The 17,415-nt window shown below is 53.1% G+C and overlaps 1 protein-coding gene and 1 long non-coding RNA gene across 6 annotated transcripts in view, besides 7 other annotated features; one reads left to right on the top strand and one right to left on the bottom strand.

The window, feature by feature from the left end:
* The window catches only part of CDH5 (cadherin 5), a 38,094-nt gene extending 24,102 nt beyond the window's left edge, over nt 1-13,992 (bottom strand). For 2 of the 5 annotated variants that reach the window (XM_047433469.1, XM_047433471.1), the window contains exons 1-3: nt 13,925-13,992; nt 11,931-12,003; nt 1,136-1,364 (exon numbers count right to left, since the gene is read on the bottom strand). In XM_047433469.1, coding sequence (XP_047289425.1) covers nt 1,136-1,345 — 210 coding nt within the window. In that variant the 5' untranslated portion in view covers nt 1,346-1,364; nt 11,931-12,003; nt 13,925-13,992. Of the gene's footprint in view, nt 1-1,135; nt 1,365-11,930; nt 12,041-13,924 lie in introns of all 5 variants that reach the window. The other 3 variants (XM_011522801.3, NM_001795.5, XM_047433470.1) reach the window with 2 other exon arrangements.
* Nucleotides 582-1,208: an enhancer, noted in NCBI's record as "H3K27ac-H3K4me1 hESC enhancer chr16:66413378-66414004 (GRCh37/hg19 assembly coordinates)". NCBI's record gives its function as "activates a minimal SCP1, AML or CMV promoter by ChIP-STARR-seq in primed H9 embryonic stem cells {active_cell/tissue: H9 hESC(primed)}" and the evidence as "EXISTENCE:reporter gene assay evidence [ECO:0000049][PMID:30033119]".
* Nucleotides 4,882-16,503, top strand: LOC105371318 (uncharacterized). The gene is made up of 3 exons (XR_933687.3): nt 4,882-5,082; nt 7,466-7,526; nt 15,756-16,503. It is a non-coding gene; the product is annotated as an uncharacterized LOC105371318 (long non-coding RNA).
* Nucleotides 6,244-6,817: an enhancer, noted in NCBI's record as "H3K27ac-H3K4me1 hESC enhancer chr16:66407769-66408342 (GRCh37/hg19 assembly coordinates)". NCBI's record gives its function as "activates a minimal SCP1, AML or CMV promoter by ChIP-STARR-seq in naive H9 embryonic stem cells {active_cell/tissue: H9 hESC(naive)}" and the evidence as "EXISTENCE:reporter gene assay evidence [ECO:0000049][PMID:30033119]".
* Nucleotides 7,460-7,989: an enhancer, noted in NCBI's record as "H3K27ac-H3K4me1 hESC enhancer chr16:66406597-66407126 (GRCh37/hg19 assembly coordinates)". NCBI's record gives its function as "activates a minimal SCP1, AML or CMV promoter by ChIP-STARR-seq in naive H9 embryonic stem cells {active_cell/tissue: H9 hESC(naive)}" and the evidence as "EXISTENCE:reporter gene assay evidence [ECO:0000049][PMID:30033119]".
* Nucleotides 9,188-9,689: an enhancer, noted in NCBI's record as "H3K4me1 hESC enhancer chr16:66404897-66405398 (GRCh37/hg19 assembly coordinates)". NCBI's record gives its function as "activates a minimal SCP1, AML or CMV promoter by ChIP-STARR-seq in primed H9 embryonic stem cells {active_cell/tissue: H9 hESC(primed)}" and the evidence as "EXISTENCE:reporter gene assay evidence [ECO:0000049][PMID:30033119]".
* Nucleotides 11,426-11,505: a silencer, noted in NCBI's record as "silent region_7557". NCBI's record gives its function as "represses an Ori minimal core promoter by ATAC-STARR-seq in GM12878 lymphoblastoid cells {active_cell/tissue: GM12878}" and the evidence as "EXISTENCE:reporter gene assay evidence [ECO:0000049][PMID:35858748]".
* Nucleotides 12,033-12,739: an enhancer, noted in NCBI's record as "H3K27ac-H3K4me1 hESC enhancer chr16:66401847-66402553 (GRCh37/hg19 assembly coordinates)". NCBI's record gives its function as "activates a minimal SCP1, AML or CMV promoter by ChIP-STARR-seq in naive H9 embryonic stem cells {active_cell/tissue: H9 hESC(naive)}" and the evidence as "EXISTENCE:reporter gene assay evidence [ECO:0000049][PMID:30033119]".
* Nucleotides 13,550-14,099: an enhancer, noted in NCBI's record as "H3K4me1 hESC enhancer chr16:66400487-66401036 (GRCh37/hg19 assembly coordinates)". NCBI's record gives its function as "activates a minimal SCP1, AML or CMV promoter by ChIP-STARR-seq in naive H9 embryonic stem cells {active_cell/tissue: H9 hESC(naive)}" and the evidence as "EXISTENCE:reporter gene assay evidence [ECO:0000049][PMID:30033119]".
* Nucleotides 16,504-17,415: the final 912 nt, after the last annotated feature.

Here is a 17,415-nt window from a genome sequence, read left to right as displayed (position 1 = left end):
ACTATCATCATCACTTCCATCATCACCACCATCAACATTTATCTTTCATCACCATCATCATCATTTATCTTTCATCACCACCATCATCATCACCATTACAACCACCACCTACCCCTTTATCATGACCACCATCACCATGATCACCACCATCACTGCCACCACCTACCCCTTTATCATCACCGCCATCATCGTGATCACCACCATCACAACCACTACCCATCCCTTTATCATCACCATCATCACCATCATCACAACGACCACCTACCCTTTATCAGCACCACCATCATCACCATCGTCAGACCACCGCCTACCCCTTTATCATCACCACCATCACCCACCATCACAATCACCACCTACCCCTTTATCATCACTGTCATCACCATTATCACAATCACCACCTACCCCTTTATCATCACCACCATCACCGTGATCACCACCACCACCTACCCCTTTATCATCACCACCATCACCATGATCACCACCACCACCTACCCCTTTATCATCACCACCATCACCGTGATCACCACCAACACCTACCCCTTTATCATCACCACCATCACCATGATCACCACCACCACCTACCCCTTTATCATCACCACCATCACCGTGATCACCACCAACACCTACCCCTTTATCATCACCACCATCACCATGATCACCACCACCACCTACCCCTTTATCATCACCACCATCACCGTGATCACCACCAACACCTACCCCTTTATCATCACCACCATCACCGTGATCACCACCAACACCTACCCCTTTATCATCACCACCATCACCGTGATCACCACCATCACAGCCACCACCACCATCACCACCATCACAACCACCACCTACCCCTTTATCATCACTACCATCACCACCATTCTCACCACTCCCACCACCACCTTGGCCTTTCCCATCCTCACCACCATCACTATCACTACCACCACCATTGCTACCATTACCACCACTACTTCTACCACCACGACCTCTACCACTATTGCTACCACCTTCACCCTTATCATCTCCACTCCTACAACCACCACAATATCTATTACCACCTTTGCCACCATCGCCATCACCACCACCACTTGTCACTATGGGCCAGCTGCTGATGGCTTCTCCTGTCCTGGGGCTTGAGCCTTACCTTGCCTACATGATGGGGAAGTGAGGTGTTTTTCTCTTCATCAATGTGCATCTGGTTCCAAATCCAATCTCTCTTTTGGCGCCGGTGGGTGGGCAGCAGGCTGTGGGTGTCCCGTTGGGCAGGGTTAGCACCTGCTGCTGCCACTGCTGCCACTGCCAGCAGGCCCAGGCAGGCGCCCGATGTGGCGAGGAGCATCATGAGCCTCTGCATCTTCCCAGGAGGAACAGATCTGGGGAAAGAGGAGACACATTCAGACTCTGGCCAGTGACGATGAAAGGAGTACTTAGACACAGGTATTTCACATAAGAGCAGCTAGATATAATGCCAAAAGCCTGGGGCAAACACAATCTGCGGGTAATTAACATTATTGTTCCCCCTTTCAGGGAGCAGTCATGCACTCGGATGAAAGGTCGGTTTTAGGACAACATGAGTAAACAAGCGCATTTAAGATAAATTTCCCTACACTTCCTTGTACCTACTCCTCACCCTCTGCCTCAGGGTAGAACAGCTGCCTTCTGCTTATTCTTCCCCGAAGCTATGCAAAACCTTCTGACCTTTCAAGAAGGTTTGCGTCCTTTCCCTAAAATTTCTTCCACCACTCTGACCGATCGCCCATATATGGTGGCCACTGCCTAAGGGTGTGAGCAGCTTCCATAGGGAACCTAACTCCCTTTATCTGTTCACTCCTTCATCCTTCACTGTCTGCTGACACCAGCAGAACCAGACCCCCTTCATGCCTTGATGAACTCCGAACTGGGGAGGGTGAAAATAGACGTGGAAACCATTTCTACTTGCGAGTCACATGTGCTAGGACGGAAGCAAGTGCAGGGGATATGGGAGCCCAGAGGAGGGCCTGTGGGGAAGGTCTCCAGGAAGAGGGTGTGAGGCTGATGCCAATGGCAGCTCCTAAGTCCCCAGGCATTGGGTGCTCAGGTTATCCTCATTGTTCAAATGAGGAAACTGAGGCACACAGATGTTAAGTTCACATTGGAGTAAGTGGTGGGACTCAGACAGGAACCCAAGTGTCTGATAGCTAATCTTTATCAAGCATTTATTTTTTGCCTGGCACTGTTTCAAGCACTTTATATATCTTATCTATTTAATCTTCCCCATCATCTTCCAGGTTGGTGTAATTATAACCCTCATTTTGCAGAAGAGGAACAGAGAGGTTTCAGAACATTCCTGAAATCACCCAAACTGTAAGGAGCACAGCCAGGATTTGAACCAAGGTTGTCTGGCCCGGAAGTTCAAATCCTTTCCTCCTGACTTCCCTTGTCCCAGCAGCTGCTATGGGGTAAGATTTAAAGCCTTCTCTCGGCAAACATCTTCCTGCCTGAAAGCCCCTTTGACAATTTTGCCTTGATTCTGTCTTCAGAAGGCTCTTAGGAAAATCCAACTGTCTTAACCCTGAGGGCCAGCCCTTCACTCCAGATCTTACAGTGAGTGGTCAGCTTTGCTGTCAGAAGAGCAGGGGTGGGTGGGGTGGTGAGTTGAGGGTCTGGGTTCATAGGAATGGCTTCATAATTTGTGTGGCCCAGTGCAAAAGAATTTTAAGAAGGCGACAGAACATTAAACCAAGGATGATGCCCTTTGAAGTGCAAGCCCTGTACAGTTGCACAGGTTGCACACTCTTGAAGGCAGGTCTGTGGGGTAGGGATGTGGATCACCCAGAGATCAAGGCCTGGCTTCATTCTGAATTCCAGGAACAGGGGTTTTCTCTACAGCCCCACGAGGAGTGCAGGCTGTGACCTTGGCCATTAGCATGTTCTCTCAGCCCTGACTCTATCTCTCCACCCTCTGGGGTCCCTGTGTTACTGACCTGCAACTCCTGGGATGATGTAGAGGAAGAACAGGTGGGTGGGAGAGGGAACCAGGACTCACATATGGAGACAGACAAGGATCTACAAGGTGCTGGATGGGATGGCCTCCTCCCTTGACTGTCCCCTGTCTGGCCAGAGGGAGAGGCTGGACTCTGTACATCACAAGAGGTTTGTAAACTCTAGTAACATTTCCCCTGATTTGCTGGCGCCAGGCTGACCTCAGGGAGGGCTGAGGGTGTCTGTGCTGGGCCAGCTGACCTCTGGGCCCACTGATTTTAGTATCGACGGCCCCTGCCTTCTGGTTCCTGCCTCTGGCCCTGGAGGAAGTGGACTCCCAGGGTGGGGATAGGCCCCAGAATGCAAGTGCCATATGCCTGGGAGAGGCCCTGACCCCTCTGGGCCTCAGTTTCCTCAGCCATAAATGAGGGGGTCAACCTGGAAGAGACTTGAGGCCCTTGAAGGGATGCTCTAGGCAGGAGGAAGGCGGTGAGGAAAGGCTTGGAGAAGAAAGGAGGCAGGTTGGGAGTCCTGGCCAGGAAGCTGGTCCCTGACTCAGGGGAGGCGGCAGGCATGACCCCTGCCCCAGCCTCACTGGACCCAGACCCTGTGGCTCATTTCCTTCTTTGTCCAGAAAGAAAGTGCAAGTCTTGATTCTTTCTTCCTGCCTCAAGTGAGAAGTGACTCAAAGATGACAAAGTAAAATGGACAGAAGTGAAAACGAGAAACAGGGAGAGGGAGAGTTCTCAGGGCTCTGGGCAGAACAGGGTGAGCGCCCAGGCTCTGAGCTGATAGATAGGTGCTGGGTGCCTACTGCATGATGGGCTCCATGCTAGGCAATGGGGGTGCCGCAGTAAGTAAGACACACTCCCTTGGGGAGTCTGCAGTAATGGGAACAACAGGAAAATAAATAAGTCAATGAGGAAACGTATCAGCTGGCGATCAGAGATGTTCAGGGAATTACAATGGGAGGTGCTGCAGAGAGTGAGGGGGCAGCTGGCTGAGCCTGTGAGGCCAGGAAGGCCTCTGGGAGAGCGGACGTTTCAGCCCACATCTGAGTGCCAGCCACAGGACTGACAGGAGAGGGAAGGGAATTCCAGGCAGAAGTGCTGTTGCTGGTCTCTGGGTACCTCAACATCCGAGCCCACCTCTGTGCAGGCAGTGGTTGGTTTCCTTAAAGGAGCCCACCTCTCTGAAGCAGTCCCTTCATAAAATCTCTTCAATTGGCCTCCCAGGGTTCGCTCTGTTTCCTGCTGGGAACCCCATCTCTAATACAGTGAGCGGGAATGTGGTTTTCTCTTTCCTGGGGCCTATTGGGATGGGTTAGTGATCCCTAGGGCTGACCGCAGCCAGCGGTCAGATGGATAAATAGAGTCATGTGCTGCAAAATGACTGTTTGGTCAACAATGGACTGCACATATGAATGTGGTCCCCTAAGGTTTTAATGGAGCTAAAAATTCCTCTGCCCTAGTAACATTGCAGCCATTGTGACGTCACAGCACAAGCCATTACTCGTGTGTTTGGGGTGATGGTAGTGTAGACCAACTTTATAAAAAATGTTATATTAGGTTGGTGCAAAAGTAATTGTGTTTTATTTATTTATTTATTTATTTATTTATTATTTTTTCCTTTGAGACAGAGTTTTGTTCTGGAGTGCAGCGGTGTGATCTCAGCTCACTGCAACCTCCGCCTCCCAGGTTCAAGTCATTCTCCTGGCTCAGCCTCCCAAGTAGCTGGGATTACAGGCGCGTGACACCACGCCCGGCCAATTTTTTTTTGTATTTTTAGTAGAGACGGGGTTTCACCTTGTTGGCCAGGTTGGTCTCAAACTCCTGACCTCAGGCGATCCGCCGCGTCAGCCTCCCAAAGTGCTGGGATTGCAGGCGTGAGCCACCGTAGCCGGTGGCTTTTTTTTTTTTTAGACGGCAACAACAGCAATTACTTTTGCACTACCCTAATAGTAAACTAATTTCTTATTGACGAAAGAAAAATATTTTTAAGTAAATTTAGTGAAGCTAAGTGTACGGTGTTTATTAAGTCTACAGTAGGATACAGTGACGTCCTAGGCCACTCACCACTCACTCCCTGACTCACCCAGACCAATTACTAGTCCTGGAAGCTCCACTCATGGTATGTACCATAGAGAGGTGTACCATTTTTTATTTTTTTATTTTTATTTTTATTTTTTACTTTTTTATTTTTTTGAGATTGAGTCTCCCTCTGTCGCCCAGGCTGGAGTGTGGTGTGAATGCGGCTCACTGCAGCCTCAAACTCCTGGGCTCAAGCAATCCTCCCACCTCAGCCCCACAAGGAGGTATGTGCCAGCACATCTGGCTAATTTTTAAATTTTTTTGAAGAGATAGTTGGGGTGGAGGGGTTTGACTATATCGCCCAAGCTGGTCTTGAACTCCTGCCTCAAGTGATCCTCCTGCATTGGCCTCCCAAAGTGCTGGGATTACAGGCTCCTTTTTTATCTTTTACATGGGAATTTTATTGTATCTTGTCTGTATTTAGATATGTTTAGATACATCAATACTTGCTGTCGTGTTAAAATTGGCTACAGCATTCAGTACAGTACCATGCTGCACAGGTATGGAGCCTAAGAGCAATAGACTGTACCGTACAGCCTAGGTGTGCGGCAGGCTATACGATCCAGATTTCTTTGTGTAAGCACACTCTCTGATGTTTGCACAACAGCGAAATCACCTGAACTCGTTTTTCAGAATGTGTCCCAGTCATTAAGATGCACATCACACACCGGGGCCTGTCGTGGGGTGGGGGGAGAGGGGAGGGATAGCATTAGGAGATACACCTAATGTAAATGACGAGTTAATGGGTGCAGCACACCAACATGGCACATGTGTACATATGTAACAAACCTGCACGTTGTGCACATGTACCCTAGAACTTAAAGTATACTAATAAAAAATAAATAAATAAAATTAAACAAAGAGAAAATTTCAGGGTGAAGACGGTCAAAACTAACACATTCAGAATAAAATGAGGTTCCTTCCTTGATTTGAAAAAAAAAAAAAAAAAGATGCACGGCTGTACCTACACCAGACTTCAGCAAAGCAGAGTCCACCAGTCACAGGCTCGGACCACGTGGCTCCTGGGGGGACATTAACTCCTCAGTGGGCTTTGTCTGGCCCCACATAACAAAGCGTTCTCTGAAGGTGCAGAAAAGCCCCTTGGATTCTGTTGTGTGTCCAGCAGGGGCCCTGCTGCTAGCTCTGGAGAGAAGTCCCTTGGAGCACATGGGCCACCCTCAAGCTCCTTCCCTCTGACAGGGCTGAGACTGGCTCTCGCAGAGTCACCTCACAGCAGCTGTGTGTCATTTGCCAGGGCAGAGGGAGGTCTGGGTGCTCAGCTCTCATCAGTCAGCTGTTGGTGAGGGGCAGGACCTTGGGTTGGGGGCATTTGGGAGCTTGGGATCACATAATCCCATTTGCACCCCCATGCCAGAGCCTTGAGCACCCTCCCGAGACAGCTCTTTCTCGCCTGGGACGGTGGAGGAGGGCTGACATCCCTGAGCACTCCCCCGAGGCACACGTTATTTTATTTAAACCTTGCAACAACCCTTCTAGGTAGTTGTCTGCGTTCCCATTTTGCAGGTAAAGAAATGGGGGCTCAGAGAGGTAGCGTAAGTCATCTCAGTTCACATAGCCGGAGGCAGTGGAGCCAGGATTTGAACTTAGGCTGTCTTTCCCCCAAATTAGTGCTTTTTGCGTCATGCCACTCTCTCTATCTCTGTGGTGACATTCACATGTAATAATAATGAACTATTCTCGGTGCTTGGTCTTCATCCATGCCAGCGCATTTAATTTTCACACTATCCCCAGGATGTAAGACTTATCATTCCCATTTCACAGATTAGGAAACTGAGGCTCAGAGACAAACAACTCATGAATGGTTGTCATCAGATCGATCTTTTTCTAAATCCTAGGCTCCTTCTATACTCAATCTCAGAGACACCTGTGGGACCTTCCCATCTGAAAAGCCACATTTATTTGTGTCTTTTGCCCTTTAGGTTAGAAATTTGGCCACTAACTTTGGGAAACTGTGGCGGGTGGATCACTTGAGGTCAGGAGTTCGAGACCAGCCTGGGAAACATGGTGAAATCCTGTCTCTACTAAAAAATACAAAAATTAGCCTGGCATGGTGGCGCATGCCTATAGTCCCAGCTACTCGGGAGGCTGAGGCACGAGAATCGCTTGAACCTGGGAGGCGGGGGTTGCAGTGAGTTGAGATCCTGCCACTGCACTCCAGCCTGGGCAACAGGTGACAGAGCAAGACTTCGTCTCAAAAAAAAAAAAAAAAAAATTGGCTAACCAAAATGGGGGCTGCAGGGAAGGGTCTTGTTGGACAGATGTTCCTTCCCATCATGATGCAGAGGAAACCGGGCCAGTCAGATCTACTGCAGCCACAGCTGAAAACTGAATTTCTCTTGGCTGCAGCCTCTGGAGATGTGGTCATAGCCCTTTTTTCATTTTAGCCTGTTTCCTTTCGGCAGGTAAGAGTCACATCTCTCGGTCGTTCTCAGCAGTTTCCAGAGAGACTCAAGCTGTTGCCAGGTAGATTTGGGGCACCCCAGACATTCAGAGGGTCTGAGGATTTTGGAAGTGATTTCCATGTTCAGAAATTCCCAGCTGAGCAGCCCAGCAACTGCCTGATCACAGTGGTGAGCAGGGAGGGGCCACGCTTGGCAACTCAGATGTAGGTTCTGAGCACGCCGAGGCCAGGTACCTGCAGTGTCCCAGGCATCCAGGATGCTTATCGATGCTGCTGTCCCCAGAGCCATGTGAGAGGGTTTGGGGGCAGTTCCAAATGGAGGAGGATGGGCCCTCTGTACCCTCCCTCAGTCTGGGGAGGTCTGGAGGACCCAAAATGAGAGGACGGAGTGAGTGGCCCGAATCCCCTGGTGAGTGGGCGTGGAGCCCAGGATTAAACAGCAGGGGAGCCTTGGAAAATAAGGGGGACGACTGGGCTCCACCATGCTCCCATGGGAGGTTGGGACCGCAGAGGCCTCTGGGGTCCAGGTCTGTATCTACCGTGGGTGGGGCCACTGGGATCAGAACCTAGACACCTAGGCCAAGCCTGGTGACCGAGGGGTCCTCCGAAGGCTGAGTCACCTGGGCAGCCTGAGAAAAGGTTGGGGCTCCTGCGGCTCTTTCTGCTCCTCTCCAGCTGCCTGTCTGGGTCTGCAGGTGCCTGGTGAGCCTCCAGGCATAGCTCCGGCCCACAGGACGTTAACTCTCTGGGAAGCTCCCCACCCCACCAGGTTTGGTTGCATCCTCCCTGCCCGTGCACTTGCTGTCCTCTCTCCTCTGCCTGGATTTAGGACACATGTCACCACTTCTCTGAAGCTCTCTCTAGAGTCCTGGGGTTATACAGTCATGCAGCAAACATTTATTGAGCATCTACTATGTGCCAGGCACTTAATTCCATGCAGGAATAAACACAGGCTCCACTTCCGTGGGAGAGAGGGATGCCGGTCATGTGGTGAAAAATGCAGTTTGAAATTGTGACATGTGCTTTGATGGACAAATCGAGGAGGCTGTGGGAGCATACAGACTGGGAGGGCCCTGATGGGTCTGAGGACCACAGTCCCAGGAGTGAGTCCTGCCTCTCACTGAGCCACTGTGGGACATCACACAAAGCTCCCTTTGGTCCCTTTCCCTTTGTGGGCGTCCATCTCTCTGGGGTTCTGCCTCCAAGGGGCTGTGAGATCGGCTCAGCTCTGTGCTGAGTTACAGTGTCAAAAAGAGAGGCTAGGGATACAAGAGAAGAGGAAGGGAAGGGAAGGGCGGGGAGGGGAAGGGCTAGAGCTGCTTTTCTTGGGACTGCCTGGGACCCCTGGCTTTGTAGCTAAATAAGACATAGGAAGTCTGGACCCAGCTGGGGGCCCCTCAATGGGCTGGTCCAGCCCCTCAGCCCCTGGGCTGGTCCTGCCCCTGAGCACCAGGAGGACCCCCTGCCCCTCGACCTGACCAGAGCCCCACTCAAGCCTTAGATTCCAGGGGCCAAGTCTGGGCTTTGCAGTATAGGGGGTTTTCAATAGGCTGGAGGGCCTCAGGGGTGGGGCAGAGGAAGGCTCCAGGTCCAGGACACACACATGACATCTGCAGGCCTCATGGACCTGTGACACCCTCAAACATGCCTTCACAAGTGCACACCCCTGACCACAGGCACCTGCCCAGGCCAACTCCTGCAGGGCTCCTCTTTGCAGGCCTGGCTGCTCTCCTCCCTGACCCCCAGCACACCCGCTTTCAGCTAGGATCCCAGCCCAGCCTCCTGCAGCCTCTGGACTCCAGCCCAGAGGCCTGGGGTCAGGGATGAGGGGCAGGGCGCTGGGAGGAGCCGGCCTAGAACATGCAGGAGGTGTGCCTGCTGGAGTGGGGGCACTGAAGACCCAGCTCCGTGTGTGGCCCTGGGCAGCTCTCCCCACCGCTTTCCCATTCCACAGCTCAAATCTCAGTCCAGGTTGGGGCTGGGACCCAGTGACCCCCAAACTCTGTGGGGACTCTCAAATGGTCTACTTGAGCTCAGGCATTTAAAGTTGCGTATTGGCGGCCACAGACTTTGGGAGGATGAAGGGTGAGGCCCTGGGAGCTCGGGAATGGGGTTTGGCCAGGCAGCTATGACCTGGCCCCTTCTGCTTCCTCCTGGTTTGTGGCTCAGTTTGGCCCTGGGATAGGCTTCTGTGGGTTCCAGACCTGTTCCTCTCCCTGCAGGTTCTGCCAACAGCCTCCCCACTCCCTGCTGGAGGAAGTCTAGCTCCTCAGCCAGCCCTTAAGGCCTAGCATGGTTGTCCCCTGCCCACCCTGCCAGCTCTCCTCTCCTCCACTTCCCTGCCCCTTCCAGCCTCGAGGAGAGCTAGGAGTTCCTGAAATGCACAATGCCCTTCCTCTCAGCAGCAGGCTTTTTGCCCAGGCTGTTCCTTCTGACTGGAATGCTCTTCTTTGCTGTGTTTCCTGGGTTAACGCTTTACTTCTTCTCAAGGCCCACACTGCCTACTCCATGAGGTCTTCTGATTGCCACCTGCCACCAGCACAGCCTCTGCCTCCTGGCCTATCTGCCCAGGCAGGTTCTGGGCCTAAGAGTTCACTTCATGCCATACCTGGGTGCATGAACTCAAGGCCCTAGACCTGGACGTGCTGCCTGTCAGCCTGGTGCCAGCTCCAGTTCTGGTCTTGTCACCCACTCCTTCCCCACTCACAGGATTTAGAAACAAATCTGTATATTTTCAGACAACACGTAGGGTGGTCAGAGTAGGTACAATTGTTGGTATAACTTAAAGAAGCTCCTCCTTGTTCCCAAATAGGTCCTCTGATGGCTCATGGGATAGGCTGCCATGGGACTGCCCAAAAGACCACCGATAGGATTTTGATCCTTTACTGACAACAAAATTATCCTTCTTAAGAGTCCCTGGCCAGGTGTGGTGGCTCACACCTGTAAATCCCAGCACTTTGGGAGGCCGAGACCAGTGGATCACCTGAGGTCAGGAGTTCGCAACCAGCCTGGCCAACATGGTGAAACCCCGTCTCTACTAAAAATACAAAATTAGCTAGGCATGGTAGCACATGCCTGTAATCCTAGCTACTTGGGAGATTGAGGCAGGAGAATCGCTTGAATCTGGGAGGTGGAGGTTGCAGTGAGCCAAGATTGCGCCATTGCACTCCAGCCTGGACAACAAGAGCAAAACTCTGTCTCAAAAACAAACAAACAAACAAACAAACAAACAAACAAAAAAGTCTCCAGTGAATATGCAAACACCCCTGAGCAGGGCACCTCTTAAGACAGGGCTGGCAAAACAGAACTCAGCTTGCCACATGCCCCTTTCCACACCTATGGCAGACATCACGAATCAATCACTCAAAGACTGTATTGAGGATCCTCATAGACTGTATTGAGGATTCAGGGGCTGAGTTCAAGTTCATTCCCACTGAATGAAGGTAGAGGGTACCAACTGGCCAGACCTATTTTGTGATGTGAAACAAATTTGTGCTGGAATCTCTGGGCTCCGGGTCATCTAGTCTATCCCCTTGCCTTCTAAAGGGACAGCTCCAAACTTCAAGGAGAGAACACCCATGCTAAGGAGGCTTCCAGACTCCTCTGGGCTTCCTGACTTTGTCTGGGACTGTCAGGGCAGTGCGGGGAACAGAATGAGGCCCTTGCACCTGCCTATTTGAACCTGCCCAGCTGCTCGGGAGCTGTGTGACCTTGGGTTCATCTCTTGCTTGCTGAGCCTCAGCTTCCTTATCTGTAATGGAGGCAACAATAGCTGCCTCCCTGGGCAGGAGGATTAAATGAGATCATGGGTGCAAAGCCTGGCACACAGTAGGTGCTCAGTAAGGGTGCAGGTGTCTTGACTCCTATCTACCCGCCCTCTCCAGCCTGGTGGGTGTGGCTTTGACTGGCCAACTTACGCTTGACCTCATTTCCTGGCTCTACTCTGGGCCCACCTCCTACTCTTTCTGTTCCTCTGCAGAAGGAAATCTCATTCACCACCAGCCCGGCCTGCCCCTGGGTCCCACTTCCTCCTCCTTCTAGTATCTGGACCTGCCAGGATCTGACTGTTTTGCTATGGTCCAAGGCAGACAACCTGGAAATCCCTGAATTAGTTTAGGGACCATCCCCTACTCTCAAGAGATGGGAAGACTGAGGTGCAGGCTGCAGAGGGGCTGCCCAAGGCCTCCTAGCATCTGGGATTCCCACTCTTCCTCCAGCAAGCCCTCCATGATTTACCCACTTAACACCAGCTTGAACCTGGATCAGGACAGACTTTTTAGTATCTCCTCAGCCAGAGGTGAAGCTCCTGAGGCCCTGCCTCCTAGAACATTCCTTCCCCTGGTATCACTGGGCTCCTGGCTTGTCCCTGTGCCTGCCTCTGTGGCCTGGACTGCTCTGCTTTCCCCCTCTCTGAGCTTCACTGTGGAGTGTGGCATGGACTGTGGGTCAGAAGGAACCGCACTCACCCTGCTTCTACCTTGTGTTGGTTGTGTGACCTTGGACTGGCTGCACAGCTTCCCTCAGCCTCGATGGTCCCATCTGTCAAATGGGAATTCTCATAGTTGCTTCAGTGTGACTGAGGGGGTGCAGAGAGAGGATACAGGGAACAGTCATGGGTCCATGTGGGCAAAATGAGCCTAAGATTCTTCCTGGGATGGTGTCCCCTCTGTCCCCTGGGTGTCCCCAAGTCAGCAGTGAATCATCCAACTTTGCAGAAAATGTGTGGCCCCTGCTGGCTTCCTGCCCTCATGTCCGGCCCTTGTTTGGCAACACAATAGCTCAGGCTGAGGCTGCAGGCGGGCAGCTTAACCCCTTCCAGGCCAGTATACACCTCCCCTACCCCTCACCACCATAAGCTGAAATTGGTAGGGCTGCTCAGGGGCTCAGCAGCTCTTGGGCCCCTTGGTGGATACCTGCTGCTCTCTAGGGCAGGCAGAGGAGAGTCCCAGGCTTCCCACCACCTGAGGATGGACCAGGGCTTCTGGCCCTGGCTCCAGTGGCCTGTGGCAAAAGAGCCTTCCAGGTACACCCTCGACTCCTCAAAGCTGCCTCCCTGGGAATGCCCTTCCTCTCTTGTCAGAATCCTATCTGCCCATCACACATGAGAAACGTCCACGCTGGGGAGGGAGCCTGACATGGAGCAGAGGCCCAGAGGTGCTCGCGATGTCCTCTCACTTGCACCCCCTTCCTCGTACCTGCTGGGCACCTGAGGACCCCTCCGTGATGGGGTTTGACCATACCTCAAGGGCCAAAATCTTTATCACATTCACAACCAGGATCGGCTCTGTGCTAGCTGGTAAATCCAGCCACTATTCCTTAAAGATCTCATGTTATGTGCCATTCCCAGCACCAGGGATGTAGCTCACTTCACTCAATTGACTGAGGAAACACTGTTTCCCCATTTCACAGATGAGACACTTGAGACCTGGGGAGAGCTGGGGCTTTGGAGTACGAGATCCTGGTTCAAATCCCCACACCAGCTCATATGTTTCCAAAGCTCAGTTGCTTTCACTGAGATATAAAGAAAGAATGTATCTACCTTGTGGAGTTGTTAATGGTAAAATAATGAGCCCCACACCATCCCTTGTTCCCCACTGTGGTTTGGAAACTCTGGGTAACTTTCCCAAGGTCACCCCAGAGCAAATGGGAGAGCTGGGATCTGTACCCAGGGCAGCTGTCTCCAGGCCAGGCTCTTGGCCCAGACCTCCTGCTTCTGGGGGACTTCCTGGGCTGTGGGGGCCTTGGGGCTCTTATGCTCTAGCCTTTGAAAGGGTGCTGGTGGGAGGAATGGTGGACCGCTGTCCAGACTACAGCTCCCTTGACACATAGTGGGCCCCGATGGTGTTTGGGCAGGGAAAGGCCCAGAGGGAAAGGCAAGACCTCAAGTGCCCAGAGCCAAGCCTCAGCTTGCCTATCCTGAAATGGGGGCACTGGCTGACCGAGAGGGGCCAAGGCTCGGAGCTTCCTTTTCAGGGCCCCTCCCCAGATCCCAGCATAGAGCTTTAGTGGCGTATGGGTAGGGGGCTGAGGAGGCTGGTGTCAGGCCTTGGTAAATCCTCTCCAGTAAGGGTAAGGCACCGAGGGGAGGCCAAGGCCTGGGTGCCAGTCCTCTGCCCCGGCATGCTGGGCAACTGGGGCAGAATACTGCCCTCTCTGAGCCTGGCACTGATGAAGGCCAGTGGGCCTTTTTGAGTTGGAGAATACACTTCTGGGAGAGCCAAGCCCTTGCCCTGCCCCCCTCAGCCCCGAGATGCCCATTTGTGCCCTTGGCACTACCTCTGGGTGCACCTTCCCCGACCCTGCTCTGAGCCACGAGGAGGCCCAGCGTGCCCTCGAGGAGCCTCTCTGTCATGGGAGTGGGACGATGCCCATTCTACAGATGGGGAAGCTGAGGACCCTCCCATCTTGGGCGCAGGGTGGCGGGTTTGGGGTGGAGGGGAGTGTGGGAGCCCCCACTCACCGTGCCTGTGGGCTGAGGGATGTTTCTGTTCCGTTGGACTGCCTGTCCGTCCAGGGCTGAGCGTGAGTGGAGCTCTGTGGAGCCTGTCAGCCGACCGTCTTTGGAGGGGAGCCACACCCCGCTGGCGAGGGAGGCCTGGCTGCCTCCCCTTCAGGTTTTCCAGCTGGCCCTGGCCCACTTCCCCCTGGGATGGTTTCCTGTTATTGTTCCTTTGTGAGGGCTGGGCTGGCTGCAGATAGGCAGGCCCTGCGGTGGGCGGCTGCCTCGGCCCCGGATGGCTGTCTCCACAGAGGGCTGGCACTGGACCCTGCCTGGGGCACCCCACTTGAACCCCTACTCCCGGCCTCAGCTCTGGGACTCTGAACCCAGCACCTGCAAAGAGCCTGGCTGTGGGGACCCTTGGCTGCAGCATCACATTTAACCCTCCTTGGAATGCTACAGGCAGGTGTCATCACCCCCATTTTATAGCCCGGGAAGCTGAGGCTCAGCGGGTTTAAGGTGCTTGTCCACCCAGCTGGGGTATAAAAGAGCCAAAAATCTAGCTGGGGTCAGCCTAGCCCCAGAGCTTGATTTTCTGTGGTGATCCCATGATGTCTTTGTGGGAATGGACTTTAAAGGTGACAGGGAGGCTTCAGGAGATGGGAAAGGGACAGAAGCTCTTGGCTCTGGAGGACCAGGTTGGCTTCTCCTGGTCAGAGCGGGCATGGACTCCAGCTCTAAGGTGCCAGCCTCGGTCTGTAGGGGATGTTTGCATTTAGGGATATTGGGTGGAGTCAAGTGACCCAGCTCTGCTTCTGATGTGACCTCTGGCCAGTTGTGTCATCCTGGAGCCACAGTTTCCTCATCTGTAAAATGGGGATAATCACAGCCTCATCCTCACAAGGCTTTTGACATAAACGAGAATCAAAGAGGGGCGTGGAAGACAGTGACGCTGAGGCTGGATCAGAGCCCAGAAGAACCAAGAGGCTGGGGGGAAGGGAGGGGCCAAGATTCTGCTGACCAGGAGAGACATAGGAGGAGCTTCTAAAAACTACAGAGGACTGGGCTCACCCCAGATCAACTGATTTGGAATCTCCCAGGGCAGATCCTGGGAATCTGTCCTTTGAAGAGTTGCTTCTGTTTTTCCATGGGTGAATGGTTGGGAAGTCCCAAACTTGTTTTATTATATAGCTGGGCAAGCAGAGACCCTGAGAAAGAGAGGGCCCAGGGCCGTTTAGTAAATCAGAGCACAAGATGGGGAGTGTGATGGAAGGATATTTTTGGAGGAGGAGGGGATAGTGATTCCTCTGTCTCAGGCAGGTTGAGTTTGAGATGCTCGTTAGATACCCAGGTGGAGGTGTCAGGCTGGTGGGGGAGACAGGGGTGAGTCCAGCCTGGAGTCGAGGTTTGGAACCCAACAGCTTATGGCTGGCATCTGAGGCCATGGGCATGGATGAGCTTGGAGGGAGGGAGGACTTGGACCCTCTGACATTTGGGGATCCATTAGAAGAGGGTCCCATGATGAAGGAGGAATGCCAGGAGAGGGCAGAGGAGGAGGGCAGGGGAGTAGTCAGTGGGTCAGCCTGGGGAGCATGAGGGCTGAGACTTAACTTTGGATTTGGAAGATGAGGTCATCAATGACTGTGACCAGAACAGGTTAAACAGGAAAAGGTAGACAAGACAGATTGGAGGGGCTAGAGAAAGGGGAGAAAGGGGGACGGGGATGTGGAGTCACGTGTGACTGTAGCTTCTTCCCCAAGTCTTACAGTGAATGGGAGCAGAGAAGTGGGAGGGTTTTTTTTTTTTTTTTTTTTTTTTTTTTTTAACTATGGCAGCACGCTCATGTCCCCAGGGAGCATCCAGCAGACGGGAAGACAGATGATGCTGGAGACTGAGGAGCGACCTGCTGGAAGGAGAACAGTCCTTGGGGCGGAATTCTGAGTGGGATCCAACACATTCAACAGCCGATTGTGGAATGAACAAACAACAGCTCAGCGCTTCCTTCTCCAATGGGATTAACTCTGCTTTCTCCTGCCCAGAGGGGGGGTTGGCCGCAGAGGAGCCAGGACAGTGCTCTGTCCCCTGTGTTCCAGTCCACATCCCCCTCACCCCCGCCTGTCCTCATGGTCTACGTGCCCATGGGGATACACTGGCCTGTGCATTGCTTCCTGCTGGGTCTCAGACTCGGGGCTGTGGCAGATGGGGACAGGGCCTGTCCTGGCACCATCTGCCAATTCCCTTTGTACTCCCAGTCCATGAGGAAGTTGACTCTGCCCTGAAAACGACTGTTCCTGTGGTCCATAAACAAAGGAATGGTGAGCCAGGCATGAGCTGTGGGCCCCAGGGGTGGGGCTGGGGGTCACCGTAGCAGAGGTAGCTGAGACTGTGGGAGGGAGGCTGGTGCCTCCTTGGTCCCCCTGAGGATTTCATGCCTGATTTCTGGCACTGCCCAGCCTCTGCTCCAACCTCTCTGGAGGCAAAGGAGGTAACAGGAGGGCACAAGGCCAGGAAGTGTCATTGGGAGCAAGGAAGGCGGCTGGTGGGCTAGCAGGAAATGGGATGGTCTGTGAGACCAGATTAGTAGCAGAGGAGGAAGCAACAGTGGAGGCAGTGGGGGTGGGATGGCGGGTGGGACGACAAGGCCTGGGGACGCCCACCTGGCCTCTGCCAGGAGGAAGCCTGACCCGACAGGGAGCGCTGCTTGGGGAGGTACAGGTGTGGGGGTTGCAGACCCAGGTTTGGATCCTAGCATGACCCGTTGCTGCCTGCATGACCTGGGCAGCCGACTTGCCTCTCTGAGCTTCTTTCCTCACCTGTGAAATGAGTTATCTGTTCAGACTTTGCAGGCCGTTTGGAAGATGAAATGAGACAATGAAAATAAATGACAGGACCAGCAAGCCTTATCGAGTGGCTGTTTCTCAAAGTGTGGTCTTCAAGCCATCCATCCTGGGAGAGGGGGAGTGAATATGCAGATTTCTTGGGCCCCACTCCAGGCTGATGGGGTCAGAATGGCTGGTGATAGAATCCCAGGACTTATGTGTTTGTAGCTCCCCAGGAAACGTGTTTGTGTTGTTACATTTGAGGACCACAGCCTTTGTGTCTGCTGCTAATGCACTAAGCTCTCCTTGGGACTCCTCATTCAAACCTCAGGACAACCCTGCGGGGGTGGTACTACTGTTAGGCCCATTTTACAGATGGGAAAACAGAGGCTGGGAGTGAAAGCCTTTCTGAGATCAGAGTTTGTCAGTGGTGGGGCGGAAATTCCGAGCCACGCTTCTGTTTCCAGAGCCCAGCTCCTTACCCAGGGAGCTTTCCTGCCCTGCTGTAATTGAGTCGGGACACAGCAGGGGTTCCCCAAATAAGACTTCCTTTTCCTTCCTCCCCACAGCGTGAGACACCCAAGGATGGGGCAGGAAAACGATGCCATCAGCTTGGCAGGGGCGGTCGTGGTGAAGCCCTGCAGCCTCACGCCTCAGGACTTTGCCCATGCTGTTCCACCTTGTGTGTTTCCT

This window comes from Homo sapiens, chromosome 16 (genome assembly GCF_000001405.40).
Source record: "Homo sapiens chromosome 16, GRCh38.p14 Primary Assembly".
Lineage (NCBI taxonomy): Eukaryota > Metazoa > Chordata > Mammalia > Primates > Hominidae > Homo > Homo sapiens.
This window is presented reverse-complemented; position numbering and strand designations above follow the sequence as displayed.